The sequence below is a fragment of the Homo sapiens genome, chromosome 10, assembly GCF_000001405.40.
Source record: "Homo sapiens chromosome 10, GRCh38.p14 Primary Assembly".
Classification (NCBI taxonomy): domain Eukaryota; kingdom Metazoa; phylum Chordata; class Mammalia; order Primates; family Hominidae; genus Homo; species Homo sapiens.
The window spans coordinates 71308083-71324643 of record NC_000010.11 but is presented as its reverse complement, the minus strand read 5'-3'; the positions used below and the strand labels follow the sequence as shown (position 1 = coordinate 71324643).

The window sequence follows — 16561 nt, the reverse complement described above, 5'->3', positions numbered from 1 at the left end:
TGAACTCCACTAATAGTACATTTTCCATCAGCATTTGTTTGAAAAACTTCACATATAAATGAACCCCTGCAATTCAAACCCATATTGTTTAACAGTAGACTGTGTAAGTCCTAGACCTGCTTTCAACAAGAATTCTGTTGGGCCAGTTGAGCCAGAATATTCCCTTATCTCACATCTGATCAAGCGCCTCACCCCACTCAGTATACCCAAGGGATTGGTTCCAGGATCCCCCCATATACCAAAACCCAAGCATACTCAGTCGGTCTTACAGAACCAGGAATAGGAAATGTCGGCCCTCTGTATATGCAGGTTTCACAACTCACAAATACTGTATTTTCCATGTTTGGCTGAAACAAAAATCTGCATCTAAAGTGAACCCTTGTTGTTCAAGGGTTGACTGTGTAAGTCCTGGGCCTGCTTTCAGCAAGCAGAGGCCTCGCCTTGACGTCTCCTCTTAGAAATGTTCCATCCTCCAGCCCTCATGCTGCTCCTTGGCTATAAATCCCCATCTCCTCTTCAGAGTTGAGCTCCATTTATCTCCCCTACTACAATAGTCTTAAATAAAGCTTTCCTTACTGTTTTAACGAGTGTCAGTATAATTTTTTTCCTTAATCCTCTTCCCCTACTGCCCCCACCTCTCTGGAAAAGCCACCCAGCAAAGTGAGCAGCCCTGTCAACTAAACAAAATTGACTCCTCACCTGGACATTCAAGGCCCCAGGCAATGATCTCAAGACCTCTTGCTCTTACTTGTGCCCCAAACACAGCTTCACAGTTTGTCATACACACCTGAACTTTCCTCCCATTCTGCCGTTGCCCAGCCTTTTTCTTCTACCTGGATCGTTTCCTCCCCTTTCTTGAAACCCACCAACTCCCAAGTCACAGCAATCTCTCCCATGGTGATCAGACTAATTATCCCTTCGGATTCATTTTCCTTGTCTTCCATAACAGAACCTCCCATTTTAGCAGGCACATGGTTCTGAGATAAAGCTACATTGAAAGACTACATTTCCCAGCCTGCTCTGCAAGCTGATGTGGTCACATGCCTAAGTTTTGACCAATGCAATGTAAGAAGAGCAATGTATGTTACTTCCAGGAAGTGTTCGTACAGGCAACAGGCATTTCCTCCTTCTCCTCTTGCTTTTTCCTACTGATGTAATGGCTGGACTTACAACAGCCGTCTTGCACTATGAGGTGGCCTTGGCCATGAAAGCTGCACAGAAGTGAAGCAACTGGGTTCCTAATGCCATAGAACATCATACCAGCCTTGGGCTGTCCCGACCAGAATTGAACATGGGAGAAAAATGACCTTCCATCTCATTTTAGTTACTAGTCTTTTGGAATTTTCTGTAACTCATAGCTGAACATAACACTATTCAGTCCATACCTTCACATCCCTGGAGGCATGGACTCTGGATTTATGGGTTTACCATACACACCACATGGAACCATAATTTGCATCTTCTTCCCAAGCTAAACAGTAAGTGATCTAAAGGCTGGAAATGTGTCTGAAATCTCCATCTTCCCCTGCATGTGAGGCATGAGGCCTCTGTATGCTCCCACCAGCCTTGCAGGAGAAACATGCCCTTACCAGGATGTCTGAGCCCTCAGGGTCCTCCCCGGTGGCTGGGCTGGAGGAGTTGCGGAGTTTGAACATCCAGTACTCCTTGGCAGTGATAAAGAAGTTCCATGGCAGTAGACTGCCAATGCCCAGGCTGAAGAAGATGATGTATGTGCCACAGAAGCGGTCCTCGGGCCTCTGCAGGCCAGGGGGCGGGCGGTCCAGCAGCTTCTCAAGCAGTGCCTCCTGGTCAGCTCGGAGACTGCTGCTTGTGGTTCTGTAGGTGGAGTTTGAACTGTGCTGAAAGTCGTCCTCTGAGACAACGGCCACTATTGGAGCAAGGAGGGCAACAGAGACAGGGTAGGTGAGTAGAAACCAAGGCTGGGGGACAGCTGGGGACCCACCCAGCCTACAAAATGACCATGCCCCCTCACCCTGGGCTCTGTAAAGTCACCAAAGCCTGGTTGGAGAGCTTCATTTTAAGGATCAGGGAGAAAGACAAAAATCAGACCTGGAGAAGGGCAGGATGTCAGAACTGTAAGTGTCCTCAGAGGTCACCCCAACCATGCAAGGGCAACAGAGGTAGCAGTAGCACATAACTGTGGAACAGGCTGGGTTTTGTAAAACACTGCATGATAGTGGGGACTGTGGCAATGTACCCAGAAAGGCAAACCTGGTCTAAGGGCATTCACAGTTCTGTGCAGCCATAAAAAAGAATTAGGACCCTTAATGGGCAAAGAATGATCTCTAAACCCTTTTCGATTTCAGGTGAAAGAAATAAGGAGCAGGATGGTGTGTAGAATATGCTACTATGTGTGTAAAAAAAGTGGGGAGAGAAAATATACATACACATATGTATTTGTATATGCACAGAATATCTCTGGAAGGCTACATAAGAAGTTTCTAACAGTGGCTGTCTCTAAGGAGGGAAACTGGGATGGTGGGGGGCGGGGAGGGGGACTTCCCTGCATTCTTATTTGTGTCTCTTGAATTTTGAACTATGTGACTAGTTTATTACCGGTTCAAAAACAAAATTAAAAGTGTAAATTTAAAAAAATTCAAATTAAGTAATAATTGTTTAAAAAACTGGTAGTGTCCAGGGCTGCCTCCAGAAGCTGGTGTGTAGCCTCTGACAGTCCATTCCCATTTCATTTGTGAGGAAAGAGAGGTCCAAAGAACTGAAGGCCATAGGCCACGTAAATGGCCAAGCCTGGGTTTGCAGCTCCTGCCTGGGTCCCACCTCTGCTCATCACACCCTACAAGGAGCCAGCCACTTTCAATCTATGGTAGCGCCTAAGATAAATGGAAGAGCCTAGGCTGCCAGCAACTATTGCCTACATGGCCTTGGGCAAGTTACCACATTTCTGTGCCTCAATTTCCCCAAATGTAAACCCAGAGAAGCTGTTTTTATGATAGTTATGCAACTGCAACTGGCTGGCAATGCCTGGCCTATAAGCAGCTGTTGAACAAATGTCAGCATCTCCCTGGCATCCTGGGCCTGTCGCATGGCTGGCTGGCTGGCTGCTGAATTTGGCTGTAAGGTAGCATGCCTGCTTCTTTGCTCTACATAGCACCTAGGATGTGGCAGCAGCTTGATAAATGAGAAATGTCTCCAAAATGCTGAGGATGGGACACTTCAGAGTCCCTTCTGCAGTAGCCTCTTCCCCACCCAATAAACTAATAAATAAATGCATCTTGGTTTCTATAGGAGGCTAAGCCTAACTCAAAGCATCGTACCAAGAAGACTGGGGCCTTTATTCCCTGGTGGGATGGGAACACCTCCTCACATGGGTGCAGAACCTTATCCACTATTTCAGGAGAACCTCAGAGCATCCCTTGGAATTAGGCAGGGCAGAAAACATTGCCCCCTTTTTTCAGATGGAAAAACTGAGGTCTGGAAGGCACTTGCTATGTCCCACAAATAGAAAGAACTCCCAATAGCTAAACTTAAGTCCAGTGATCACAAATGCCAAGGTCTGTGCCTAACAGAGGTCACACTTGAGGCTGACAACAGCCTAATATATTAGGTACTACTCTAAGACCCATTTCACAGAGGGGTCTGAGGCTCAGAAAGGTTGAGTAACTTGCCCAGGGTCACATAACTAGTAGATGACAAGAGTGAAGTTACACAGCCAAGCAGACTGGGGCCCATGCTGGACTCCTCAGCACACCGGGGAGGACTGGCTGGGAATGGGAATCTGTGTCTGCTGGTTCCAAGTACAGGCATCCTTCCTGCAAGCCTTGAAGCCAGTGAGTCGGGAGGGGCCCAGGCACACTGCAGGCACCCTTGTCAATGTTTGCTGAATGAACGGACTCTGCACGACCAGGACATTCTCCCCTGCTGGGGTAGCATGTACCCTGGAGCCAGCAGGTGGGGGGCCACTGGATGCCCAAGTGCAATGCATCCAGCCAGCAAGTCTATTTTAAACTCCCCTGGTTAGCAGAGCCCCTCCCCAGCCTGGATTCGCATGGAGGCCAGCATTAACAAGCTCACTGTCTGGAAGCTCACTGTGTGGAAAATCGCTTTTTCCACATGCACCCACTCATAGAGGAAAAGCCATGTGAAGGCACAGCAAGAAGGAGGCTGTCTGCAAGCCAGGAAGAGAGCCCTCATCAGAAACCAAATCAACCAGCACCTTGATCTTGCCCTTCCCAGCCTCCAGATCCATGAGAAACAAATTTTGTTTAAGCCACCCAGTCTATGCTATTTTGTCTGGCACAAAATGGTACAAATGTAACAAGCTCACTTGTTACATTTTAAAAATTAGTGTTTAAAATGTAAAAAATAATCATGACCCACCCACATAGAACAAGAGAGAACCGGCAAGTGGTTCTTTCCAGAGGCTCCAGCTACCTGTGGGGGCGGCTAGAAGGTCCACCAGCCCTGTCACTCAGGACCACACCTGGCTAGGGCCCCCTTCTCAGTTCCTAGCGTCTATTTGTCAAGGCTTGACTGAGCTTCTGAAGAAGGAGCCAGGAATTTTCTCTAACCAGGGTCACAGGCCAGGGCACTGGAGTGAGCAAAGTCTTATTAGTCTTTATAAAAGCTAGCTGCTGGCTTCTGGATTAAAAAATAAAGAGAAAGGCAGGCAAGGAAGTGCCCAACCTTCCCCAAAACAAGCTGGCTGTGGCCTGGAACGTGCTCCTGGGTCACCTGCGGGAGCCCGGCCATGCACAGACAGACAGCCCCACACAAGGAGGCAGGCACTGCTGGGGCCGCGGCAAAACCTCATCTGGGCTGGGAAGCCTGGGTGCTGGTTCCAAGGAGGTTCCTGACTCTGGCTAGGTGGCTCGCCCCTCTGTGCCTCGATCTCCTGGGCTGTGAACCGGGGTGGGGAGCTGGTAGGGCTAACCTGTGGGAAGGCACTGGGAAGCGCAGGGCACCGCCTACTGGCCGCGGCAGAACCGGCTTTGCGGTGTAAACAGCCCCAGCCTCAGGCCCCGCAGCTGGGACCGAGAGAATCAGCCACCGTCTGGATACTTCGGGCCGACGGGTCCATACCAGGCCCCCACCATACAGGCGGTGAGGTCCAGTCTCAGGGAGGAGGAGGGGAGAGGATTTGGGGAAGAGAAGATAGAGACCCAGAAAGAGGGGTGGCAGAGAGCAAGGAGAGAGAGGAGGGACGGTGGGGAAGGGACCACGGATGGGGTAGGGTCCTGCGGCTCCCCTGGCAGCCCGCAGCCGCCCCCAGGGCCCGGGAGGGAGGTCGCTGAGCGCGAGTCTGGGGGCGGCCGGGACCGTAGCCGGAAGAGCCCGAGCCGGCCCGCACTTACTGTCGCCGCTGCGCCACGCCGCCGCTGCCTCCGGCGCACGGCCAGGACCACTGGGCTTGGCAGGCGGCAGGCGGGCTCCTCCCCCGGCCCCGCCCCGCCCCTCGCGGCAGCACGCCGCCGCTTCCCCGTTTGCAAACACGCTTTTTTCCTTTGTCTTCTGCCGGCGCGCCGGGGCTCCCCCTTCTGGCGCTGAGCTGGGGCCTGCGTGCGCCCATTTTATAGGAGAAAAAGTGAGTCACCCAGTCTTAAACGCACTGCCCATGCTTGCGATGGGTGCGCTGCGCATCAGGCCTTTTGGTTGCTGCTCCTTCTTTACCTTGGAGCCAGACCCCACTGTCTCAGACCTCCCCTTTAGCTACTATAACCTGCACCCCAGGACTCAAAGGAGCCCTCATCTTGTCCCCAGGCCGCTGCAGAGACCCCTCTCCAAAGGCCGCTTCTACCCTTACCGGCTGCCGCTGCTCTGGAGGTGAAGCGGGACCCACACCCGGACTGAACTGGGCCTCCCAGGCCAGGCAGCTATTTTCAGTAGACCCAGAACATGGCAGTCAGCAATTCCAGCCCTCACACTTGACCTCAGCCATAGCGTGTAACACACAGCTGCCGCGTGTTCTTTAAGAAAGCAGGGGCCGGGCGCGGTGGCTCACGCCTGTAATCCCAGCACTTTGGGAGGCCGAAGCAGGCGGATCACCTGAGGTCGGGAGTTTGAGACCAGCCTGGCCAACATGGCGAAACCTCGTCTCTACTGAAAATACAAAAGTAGCCGGGCATGGTGGTGCGTGCCAGTGATCCCAGCTATGTGGGAGGCTGAGGCAGGAGAATCGCTTGAACCCGGGAGGCGGAGATTTCAGTGAACCGAGATGGTGCCACTGCACTCCAGCCTGGAGCCTGGGCGACAGAGCAAGACTCCATCTCAAAAAAAAAAAAAAAAAAAAAAAGGCGGAAACCTTCCTGACTCCCGGTCCTGGCCCAGTTGGCCTATTCAGAGCGGGGATCTGGATGCTTCACAGGGCCTGAAGATCTGTGACCATGGATAGTAAATTCTTGCAGTTGCCATCCCAGGGCTCAGGGGTGCCACAGAACCCATTGAGGCTGTCAGTGTGTGGACAGGTTCTCAGAACATCCCCACTCCCTGCCCCAGCCTCTCATTTTATAACCACCATTCCCCAAACACTGGCCTGATCATAAAAGTCTCGAGTACACATCCAGATTCTGGGGACCTCTCCCCAGGAGGGTTGCTGCCACTCCCCAATCCCTGAGGGTGGTGCTGTATCTGCTTTGTTTGCTCTTCCCTCATCGTGGGCACATAATTTGTGTTCAATAAATACCTGGATTAATACAACCCATCACTCAGGGGGTGCAGAATGGGGATCCAGAATGGATCTATTTAACAAGCTCCACCAGCAGGCGAGTTTGGAGACTAGCACCCTAAATTGTCAGAAAGCCCCCCGGCCCAGGAGAGGAAGGGGCTTAGCTCCAGGCTTACAAGCTGAGGGATAATGGTAAAATTACTAAACCTCTCTGAAACCCAGGGTCGGCTTAGGACTGTCGGGAGAATTAAGTCAGGTGATCCATGCCAGGCACTCAATGCAAATTTCCATCACTTCCAAGGAAGACACTCCCCACCCCCAAAATGTGATAGTGTATATGTTAGTTTAGTCATCAGGCCTTATTTTTAGCCTCTTTACGTTGGAAAAAAATCCTCTAATATACAGAGCATTTTCATGAACAGTCTCCCATTTGATTCCACCCCCCCACCCCAGTACCCAGTGAAATGGGACTGTTGTCCCCATTTTACAGATGAGGAAAGCCAGGCTCAAAGAGGTCAAGTGGCTTCCCAGGGCACACAGCTGGCAGTGATGGAGTGGCAGAACCCAGAGCCAAGGCTCTTTTTGTCATGCCCGGTTACAGGCAGGCAGGTGAGGCTGAGGGGAGCTGGGACAGCACGAGGGACAAAGCCGTAGGATTCAGTGAGGGCAGCAGATCAGGGCTATTTCTGGTCCAGCCCCAAGACCATGACCCATGTCTGTGAAGCTCCGGTGCTTTGTCACTTGATTGCTTTTACTTCATGCAGAGTCCTGAGTTGTTTGTAGTCATTGTTATCTTTATCTTTGGAGAATGTGCATGTATGTGAGTGAGTGAGACAGTTTCAGGACACCTGCTTAGAGAATCAGAGGTGCCAGGAGCCCTCTTCCAGAGCTCTGAGGCTGAGGTCTTTCTCCAAATGGAGGAGGCGCCAGCCACTTGGGGATTTGCTGGTTGCTAGGGCTGAGTTCAGGAAGGGGCTCTGGGGATGGCCTCCATCATGAAAGCAGAAAGCCGTGGGAGGAAACAGGTTGCTAATGCATCCGTGGGGCTGCTTCCCGGACAATGTGGGCTTGTCTTCTCCTCCAGGATCTAGGCGGATGGCGGTGGTAATGTCTAGCTTGGGGACAAGATGAGTCAGGTACTGTTGGGCACACAGCTTCCCAGGGAATGTTTGAGGCTTTGGGGGATCAGGGAAGGAACAGGAGAATGGGGGTCCAGAGCCCTGAGCTCTGAGTCTGCCCTGGCCCCTGACCAGCAGGCCCTTCAGTGACCAGGTAATAAAAACATTTACCCTGACAGATGATCAGAAAAGAGGGAGATTGGGTCAAGAAAGGGAAGTAGAGAGGAAACAGAATAAAAGTGTTTTCACAATACCTACTTCATAGCAGCGGACTCCAGGGAGGGGAGGGATGGGGAGGCTGGGGTGGGCAGGCCTCAGAAATTGGCTGGGTTCCTGTCCCTTGCCTGAAGTTATCCTGAACATTGCTTTTGATAAGTGCTATAGGAGCGGAAAGGTAATTTTTTCTAGCCTTCATGAGGTAGGGTAGACACCTGAAACAATCTTGAGATTGAGAAGAGAAAAACAAACAGAAGTTTAGTAATGTGTATATGTCATGTGCACTTGGGAAATACTCAGAGAAATAAGTAAATCTCCAAAAACCACGGCTTTGAGTTCAGGCTTAAATGCCATCTTCAACTGAAACAAAGAAAGAAGGCCCAGCTGTGGGGATGTGGGCAGGAAAAGCTTAGTCAACAAGGGGAAGGTTGGTCTTGCAGACTGAAGTCCATGCCTTCTCCATTGGTGTTTCTAGTGATTAGAGACATCTTTCTCTTCCTGGTGCAGACAGGGAGACACCCTGATGTATGATTTCTTTTAAAGATGTAAGTTTCTCTTTCAAAGGGTAAGTTTTCCTTTTGTTCTTAGAGCTTCTCCTGTGTCTGCAGTTTCTCAAAATAACCAGCTCAGAATTATTCTTATGCCAAGGAGCCATATTTTGGGTGGCCTATTCTGGTCTGGTCTCCTACAGTCATAAGTTTGCGGTAGTGTGTCCTGAACCCCATCTGTGTCTAGGAATGCAGTGGCCATGCTTTTCTGCCTTGATAGCTCCCAACTCTGTATCTGGCTGGGGCATATGAGGCATTGCAACCGAGTGGATTCAATGACAACAACCATCTGTGCTCAAGTATTGTTGGAGAAGGTCAGGGAAAATATTTGTAAATGGTAAAGTACTACATCCATTAGGCATCTTTATTCTTATACATGAGGAGAAAAAGAGGAGGAGGATAAGAAGGAGAAGAGAAGGAAGGAAAACTCCAAATGGCCAAAGCACTTTCCACTGGATCGACATTTTACAATCCTTAATCCTTTGAAAAAGCACCCTGGCCGGGCGCAGTGGCTTGCGCCTGTAATCCCAAGCGCGATTATTTTGGGAGGCCAAGGCGGGCAGATCACGAGGTCAGGAGTTTGAGATCAGTATGGCCAACATGGTGAAACCCCATCTCTACTAAAACTACAAAAAAAAAAAAAATAGCTGAGCATGGTGGTGGGCACCTGTAATCCCAGCTACTCGGGGTGCTGATGCAGGAGAATTGCTTGAACCCAGGAAGGCGGAGGGTGCAGTGAGCCGAGATTGCGCTACTGCACTCCAGCCTGGGCAACAAGAGCGAGACTCTGTCTCAAAAAAAAAAAAAAAAAAGATAGAAAGAAAAAGAAAAAGAAAAGAAAAAGCACCTTGTTTCTCCTTGGTTTGGAAATGCCCTGAAAGGTTCTGAGTGCTGGCAGAAGCCATCCCAGTATCACAAGAGGACCAGCTCCAGGCCCAGGGAACTGGAGGATGAGATGCCAAGGCTGGCCAGGGTGGCCGATAGGGAAGCCTCTTGGCTTGGTGGTCAGAACTGGGCCCTGGAGCCAGACAGACCTGGGCTAGGATGCTTTTTATGTGGCCCTACGAAGTCAAGCCTCAGTTTTCTCATCTGTAAAGGGGGTGAGAATAACAACCTAACAGCCTTCTAGGAGGCACAGAGTAGGTGTATGGATTGCTGTTAAAGACGGTGAGCCAGAGGACACAGCTCCCGCTCTGCCTCCAGCCCCCTGACGGCCGCCCCCATCCCGTAGAATCCACCACACACCATGAGGTCGGTGCAATTGTCAGCCCCGTTTAGCTTATGCGGAAACTGGGGCACAAAGAGGTTAGTACCTCATTCAGAGTCACACAGCTAGTCAGCGGCAGAGCCAAAATTCACATGGTTGCCTTTCTGCCTCCAGAACCCACCCAGGAGACTCCATGAAAAGTGGTTGGGAGTGGGGGTCACACAAGCCCTCATCTTTAAGACTGGAGCCCTACAGGCTCTCCTCTTCTTCTCTTCCCCAGGGTCTGTTGACCTGCAGGCGACATAACAATCAGGAAGAGTCAGAATATTTTTCACAGGCTCCTTTTGGGGGAGGGTGCGGGGCGTTGGGGCGGGGGGGCGGTGCGACGGGCGGAGCGGAGAGCGCCAGGCATAAGGCTCATGGGCCGATGCTGCCATCTCGTGGAACTTCTCTATCAGTGCAATGCTCACAGATTGGGGTCACTCACTCACTACGGTCTTTCTTTCCAGGGTTACTGGATACCCGTGCGAGGCACGAGGATTCTGAGAGATAGGGTTAGTAGTTATGGTGATAAAGCCATAACTACGGACTCATAACTTCTCTGCTTCCACATCACTAATTTATTTTTTAAGAGCCAGGGTATTGCTCTGTCACCCAGGCTGGAGTGCAGTGGCATGATTGTAGCTCACAGCAGCGTCCAGCTCCTGAGCTCAAGTAATCCTCCCGTCTCAGCCTCCCCGAGTAGCTGGAACTACAGGTGCAGGCCACCACTCCCGGCTAATTAAAAAAAATTTTATTCAGAAATGGGGGTCTCACTATGTTGCCCAGGCTGGTCTCAAACTCTTGGCTTCAAGTGATCCTCCCACCTTAGCCCCCCAAGATGCTGGGATTACAGGCGTGAGCCACCACGGATGGCCCACATCACTGATTCGAATTCCAGTCCCCTTTCTGATTCTAGCCACCTCTCCTTGCTGTGTGCTGGTCAGTGGCTCCCTCCAGGAACGTTCTGGACTTCCGGGAGATGCCAGCACTGACTCCTCTGTCTTCCCTTCATCCATCAAGCATGTCCTTCCTTCTATCTTCAGGCAGCTTAGATCCCAAGGTTCACCATGTCAGTAACATCTTCGCAGTACCCTGAACTCCCATGTCCCTCATCTCCCCGTGGCAGCGTGGGCCCACCCTGGGGGAGCCCAGCTACAGCTGACAAATGATCCTCACTGGAGAGTCCCCAGCAGACCAGCGAGTCTGCTTGGAACTCACAGTTATCAACGCCAGATGGGCCTGAGGATTCCCTGCAGTTCTACCACGTGTCTTGGCTCCTGCTTGCTGTAAGAACTGTTGCCATCTTCCTCCTCCACTTGGCCCAGGGCCCTGAACACATCCCTCCCGGAGATGGTCTTTACGGAGAAAACAGAGTCCACCAGTTAGGGATGTTCCCATTTGTCAGCGCCAATCTATCTCTTGCTCCACAGTTACAACAGGGAAATTGCTCCACGTCCCCTCCCCGTTTTTCTTTGGTATCCTTGTTTGGGTTCTTTTTATGGAAGTACCACCTACATAGAGACTAGTGTGCAGATCGTAAGTGTAGAGTTCATGAATGATCACAGAATGGTGACGTCTGTTCCACCAGCACCCGGAACAAGAAAGTGAACGCTCTTAAAGCCCCAGAAGCTGCTCTCCTCTGATTACTATGTGTACAAAACAAACGACCCCCAAATGTAGTGGTGCCAAAAAAAATTTGTTATGGCACAGATTCTGTGGGTTGGGAAATGGACAGGGCAGGATGAGCATGCCTTGTCTCTGTGCTGCGCCCCCACTCGCCCCCCATGGCTGTGGCCTCGGCTGGAAGACCCAAAGGTTGGGAGTTGGAATCATCTGAAAGTGTCCTCCCTTTCTTGTGTCTGGCAGTTGATGCTGGTTGTTGGCTGGGCTTCCACTGGGATTACTGTCCACAGCTCCTTCAAGTGGCCTCTTTCTGTGCCTTCTTAGGCTTAAGGAAATACAGGGTGTTTTTAGGATCCAGCCTTGGGAGTTATGCATGGCCACTTCTGCTGTACTCTGTTGGTCAAGGAGTCACTGAGGTCCACCCAGGATCCAGGGGGAGGGGACATAGACTTCAACTCTTGATGGAAGAGTGCCAAGGTCAAGTTGGAAGAAAAGCATGTCAAGTGGTACATATTATTGCAGTGATAGTTGGAAAATATAATCTGCTATGATGGTCATATGATCTTTGTCTTTATTCTATTAATGTGGTAAATTTACATTAATTGATTTTCAAATGTTAAATCAGCCTTGCATTTCTGGAATAAACCCAGCTTGATTATGATGTATCGCTTTTTAAAAATATTACTCTGGCCAGGTGCAGTGACTCATGCCTGTAATCCCAGTGCTTTGGGAGACTGGAAAAAGAGGATTGCTTGAGGCCAGGAGTTTAAGACTACCCTGGCAGCATGGTAAGATTTTGTTTCTACAAAATAAATAAATAAATAAATAAATAAATAAACAAACAAATAAATAATTTAAACAATGTGTTGCTTAATTCTACCTGTTAGTATTTTGCTTGGGATTTTTGTATCTTTGTTCATGAGATAGTTTGGTCCATGGCTTTCTTTTCTTGTAATGTGTGTTTTGTTTTTGGTTTTTGCCTTAATGTGTATTTTCCTAATTTTAGTGGAATTACACTAGCTTCATTTTGAATAGTGTTTCTATGATATATCTTTCTTCATTCTTATAATTTTATCAGATATCCTTATATGTAGGGCATGTTTACGGTAAATGGGGCATATACTTAAGAAAAAATCCACTCTAACTATCTTTACCTTTAACTTGAAGTCTTTTGTCCATTTATATTTAATATAATTACTGGTAGACAGATATATTTGAGTTTAATGCTACTACTTTTTTCCCAACAGCACACCTTGTCTATGTTCCTTTTTTCCCCTCCTTTCTTGTCTCTTTTTGGATTGATCAATTTAAAAAACTATTTCTTTCTCACTTCTATAAGTTAAATATTCTCTAGAGCTTATATTTATCCATACATGATTTACTAGACTCTAATATCAATTAGTACATTTCCCACTTTCCCAGGTGTTGCAGGTACCTTAGAATACCTTAATTACACTTACCCTGACCCAACTTTTGTGTTACCATTTTAACATAATTTAATTTACATTATTTTAAAACTCATAAGATATTACTTTTTTTCTTTTTTACAGTTCATATTAATTTCTATTTACTCACATATTTACCCATTCTCATTGTTTCTCATTCCTTCCTGCATTTGCTTCTTCCTGGAGTCATTTCTGTAAGCGCAAAAGGCTCCCATTAGTATTTCTTTCTAATGTCAGTCTTTTAGCAATGAAGTTTCTCAATTTTTGTTGGCCTGGAAATGCCCTTTGCCCTATTTTCACCAGGTCTGGAATTCTAGATTGATGCTTATTTTCTTTTGGCACTTTAAAGATCATTTCACTGCCTTTTGCATTCCATGGCTTCCATTAAGAAGCTAGCTATGAGTCTTACTGTTCCTTTGAAGGTAAAGTCAGGCCAGGAGAGGATGCTCTGGTGCTGGCCCTGCCGCCCTCCCACTTCCCTGGAGAGAGAAACACAGTTTGAGGGGCACTGGGAAGGAGGTCGGCATCCGGGACTCTAACCAGCCTGGGGAATTCAGATCCTTCCTGGTCCCAGTCACATCAATTTTCAGATGCCACGTGGTGGCTGCTTTCATATTGTCCCACTGGACCTGTGGCCACACAGCATGGGATCCGATCCTGCTGCAGTGCCCAAAGGGCAAGAGTTCCAGGAGGCTGGTGGGTGACCTCTCTTTCACCCAAAGGTTGACCAGCTGTCTGGACCCTAGACTCTTTCTCCACCTTGTCCCCAGCCCCATATACATATGGTCTCAGATCAGCCAGATTTTGGGTGGAAGTAATGCTCTTGTCTGGGGCTCTGGACTCTGTATGTCTAGGACTTGGTTCAGGTATGTGTGAGGATTTCATGTCTCAAGTGAGGTGGGTAGGAGGACTCATTCTCTGTCCTCATGGGAGTCTGAACCTGCCAGTTCTTAGACTTTAGAGTCAATCAGGGGTCTAGACTTCCAGGGTCAACCAGATATCCGGTGGGGGTGAGATTCAAGTCTAGGGCTCTAGTCTCTGTGTGGTAAGGATTTATTCTTCATGTGAAAGTGGACTTAGCGTCTGTGAGAACAAGGATCTTCTGTCCAGTGTCAGGCTTGGGATATAGTCCCTGTTGTCAAAGATCTGGAATCTCTCTCTCTCTTTCTCTGGTCAGGTGGGGAGAACTGGGTCCTGAGTACACTAGGTGTCTGGACTCAGGGAATAAAAAGATGACCAGAATCAGGGCTCACTCAGATGTATGTATGTGTAGTTTCTATTATCTGTTATTTTTCTTGGTCCTGTCTATTGGGATGTCCAGTAATTTTTTACTGAATGTTAGACATTGTAAATGAAAACTTAGAGGCGTGCTGATCTTCCCACAAGGAGAATTACCTTTAGCTTCTGGTAGGGATTGGAGTGGGGATTAAGAACGGCTGGATTTCGGTCTTTTTAAGGCCTGATCTGCTTCCTGTTTGCTCTTATCCTAGGCTGTGGCCATTCCGAGACCCCAGGCCAAGGGCTGGGTTGTTGGCCAGGGCTCCCCCTTCACTCCCAGTGTTGCCCCCTGTAGCGGTGGGTCTGTCAAAAGCTCTGCCTGGCTTCTCAGCCCCTTAGCTGCTGCTTTCAGTTTGGCACTCACTGGTTAGAAATCAACAAGTGGCTTGGGCAGAGGGGCTGGGGTGGGGGAAGAAGGACAGAATATCAAATTTCTCTGAGCTTCCCTTCTCTCTAAGATACTGGTTTCTCAGTTCCCCTATCTGTTTTGGTAGTGCTGAAGTGATCTTCCCCTGACTTCCCCAGCTATCCTCACTCATAACCTGGCTTTATTTTTTGTGTATCTTTACATATCACGTTTTTAAATTGTCTGTCTTCCTTCCACCAACATGAGAACTGTAAACGTTTGTTTAGTGGAAGCAGGATTGTATTGAGCTGAGATTGAACCTGGCTAATCATCTACGCTAGCCCAGATGCTCTGGAGTTCTGGTTCTGACCCAGGTGGGCCAGGTACTAATTGTCCTGTGCTTTTCCATCTGTGAGGCCAAGAGGAGGGTCCCTGTCCTGACTATCTCCAGTGGTGTGGCAGTGGGATTAATTCTGGTAATCAAGGAGAGCATTGGTATGAAGGTGCTTGGGGAATGCCACAAAGGTACGTCAATGTCAGGAGCAGTACAGATTGTGGAGGAAGGGCTGCAGCTGGCTTGTGTTTCCCACTGTGTGGGGCTGTAGTGGGAGCACTGGACTGGGAGTCAGTGCTCTAGCCACGTGGCTCACTGGCCTTCTCCTAGCTACATAAAAAGAGAAAATGTGGGGCACATGGTGCTTTGTAATCTCAGGTGTCTGCAAATGCAAGGAGCATATTCCTCCCTCTTATCTTCATCTAATGGGAGAGAGGTGATAGTGATCATCCAGTGACACACCTGCAACTGCTATTGATCCCGATGATGACAAAATGGAAAGAGATTCATACTGATTACTCTCTTAATATTTACACATATTACCTCATTTAGTCCTTACAGGAAGTCTATAAGGAAGGGCTTGTCATCCTCATTGCTGGAAAATCTGAGGTTCCAGGAGTTTAGGCAATTGGCTCAAGGTCACATGGAGAGCAGATGGTAGAGTCTGGCCATAAACCAAGGTCAGGCTGACCCCAAAGCTTGTTCCCTTAAACCTGCAGCTGAGCTGGAACTATGGATAATGTTAGCTTCATAACTACCCTGTGGGAATTGAGGAAAGGGAGGCAAGCCACCAGAACCCAGAGGGAGCACCAATGGGCACATGGATGCTGAGCCCAGCCACGCGAGAGACTGGGAGCACTTAGGAGGAGGAGAAGAGGCAGTGTGGGCCAAGAAAGCTGTTTTCAAATATTTGAAAAGGTGGCATGGAGTGGAAGGCTTAGGCTTAACTCCCATTGATTCCTGTGGGTAAAATCAGCCCCTACAGTGAAAATAAGTAGTCATTTATTAAAATGCCAGCTATTATTACAATTAAGAAGTAGAGAGTTCCTCATCTCTGGAAGTATTCAAGGAGAAACTGGGGAAGCCCTTGTCTGAGTCACTGTGGAGGGACTTCTGGAATCAGATGAGGATGGATTAGATAGCAGCCAAGGACCCCCACCTCTGCCATCCTAGAAGCCTATGAAAGAGACCCCAATGAACCCCTGCAGTCCTTGGCCATAGCCTCTGCCTGGTGTACCCCCTTTGGGTAATTGCAGTATTTACTGAGGTGGGTGCTGGGCCTCTGTCCCTAGGTACCTGGTAGCAGGAGAATTGCTGCAACCTGAGGGCCTGGTAGCCAAGCCCTGCCCTGAATTTCATCAGGCATAGAAGAGGCTCGTGGGGAGAGGACCAGCCTCACCCACCATCCCACAGAGGAATGCAGGAGGGAGGTAGCTGGTGTGGGCATCATGGTCCCCTGATGCAACCCAGGGAAAGCAACACCTGGGCAGGGGCACCTGGTGATCTCTAGAGAGGGCCAGGGGCTCAGGACTGTGTCCCAGCTAGCAAACCCCTGAACCTAAGCCTGACCCTCCGCTGCTTCAAAACCTTCCCATAGCTTCCCATTGCCCAGCAGATCACAAACTGGATGGATCTTGTTTGGCCTGCAGTTTACAAACAATTTGAGCTAACAGTTACAAATAGAATGATTTCACATACGTTTCTGAATCCTGGTTTCTGGTTTCTAAAAGCAGGAGGTTGGAGCAGTCCTGGGCACTCACA

At 49.2% G+C, this 16561-nt stretch overlaps 1 protein-coding gene and 1 long non-coding RNA gene across 8 annotated transcripts in view, besides 1 other annotated feature; one reads left to right on the top strand and one right to left on the bottom strand.

Moving 5' to 3' along the window:
- SLC29A3 (solute carrier family 29 member 3) overlaps positions 1–5385 on the bottom strand; it is a 62165-nt gene extending 56780 nt beyond the window's left edge. For 6 of the 7 annotated variants that reach the window (NR_033413.2, NR_033414.2, XM_047425425.1 and 3 more), the window contains exons 1-2: positions 5334–5385; positions 1590–1888 (exon numbers count right to left, since the gene is read on the bottom strand). Coding sequence is in view for 5 of the 7 variants with exons in the window: in XM_047425425.1 (XP_047281381.1) it covers positions 1590–1888; position 5334 (300 nt within the window). In the remaining 2 variants the exon portion in view is untranslated. Of the gene's footprint in view, positions 1–1589; positions 1889–4912 lie in introns of all 7 variants that reach the window. The other variant, NM_001363518.2, reaches the window with a different exon arrangement.
- On the top strand, positions 4981–6675 carry LOC124902445 (uncharacterized). The gene is made up of 2 exons (XR_007062183.1): positions 4981–5082; positions 5740–6675. It is a non-coding gene; the product is annotated as an uncharacterized LOC124902445 (long non-coding RNA).
- Positions 5139–5588: a silencer, noted in NCBI's record as "silent region_2461". NCBI's record gives its function as "represses an Ori minimal core promoter by ATAC-STARR-seq in GM12878 lymphoblastoid cells {active_cell/tissue: GM12878}" and the evidence as "EXISTENCE:reporter gene assay evidence [ECO:0000049][PMID:35858748]".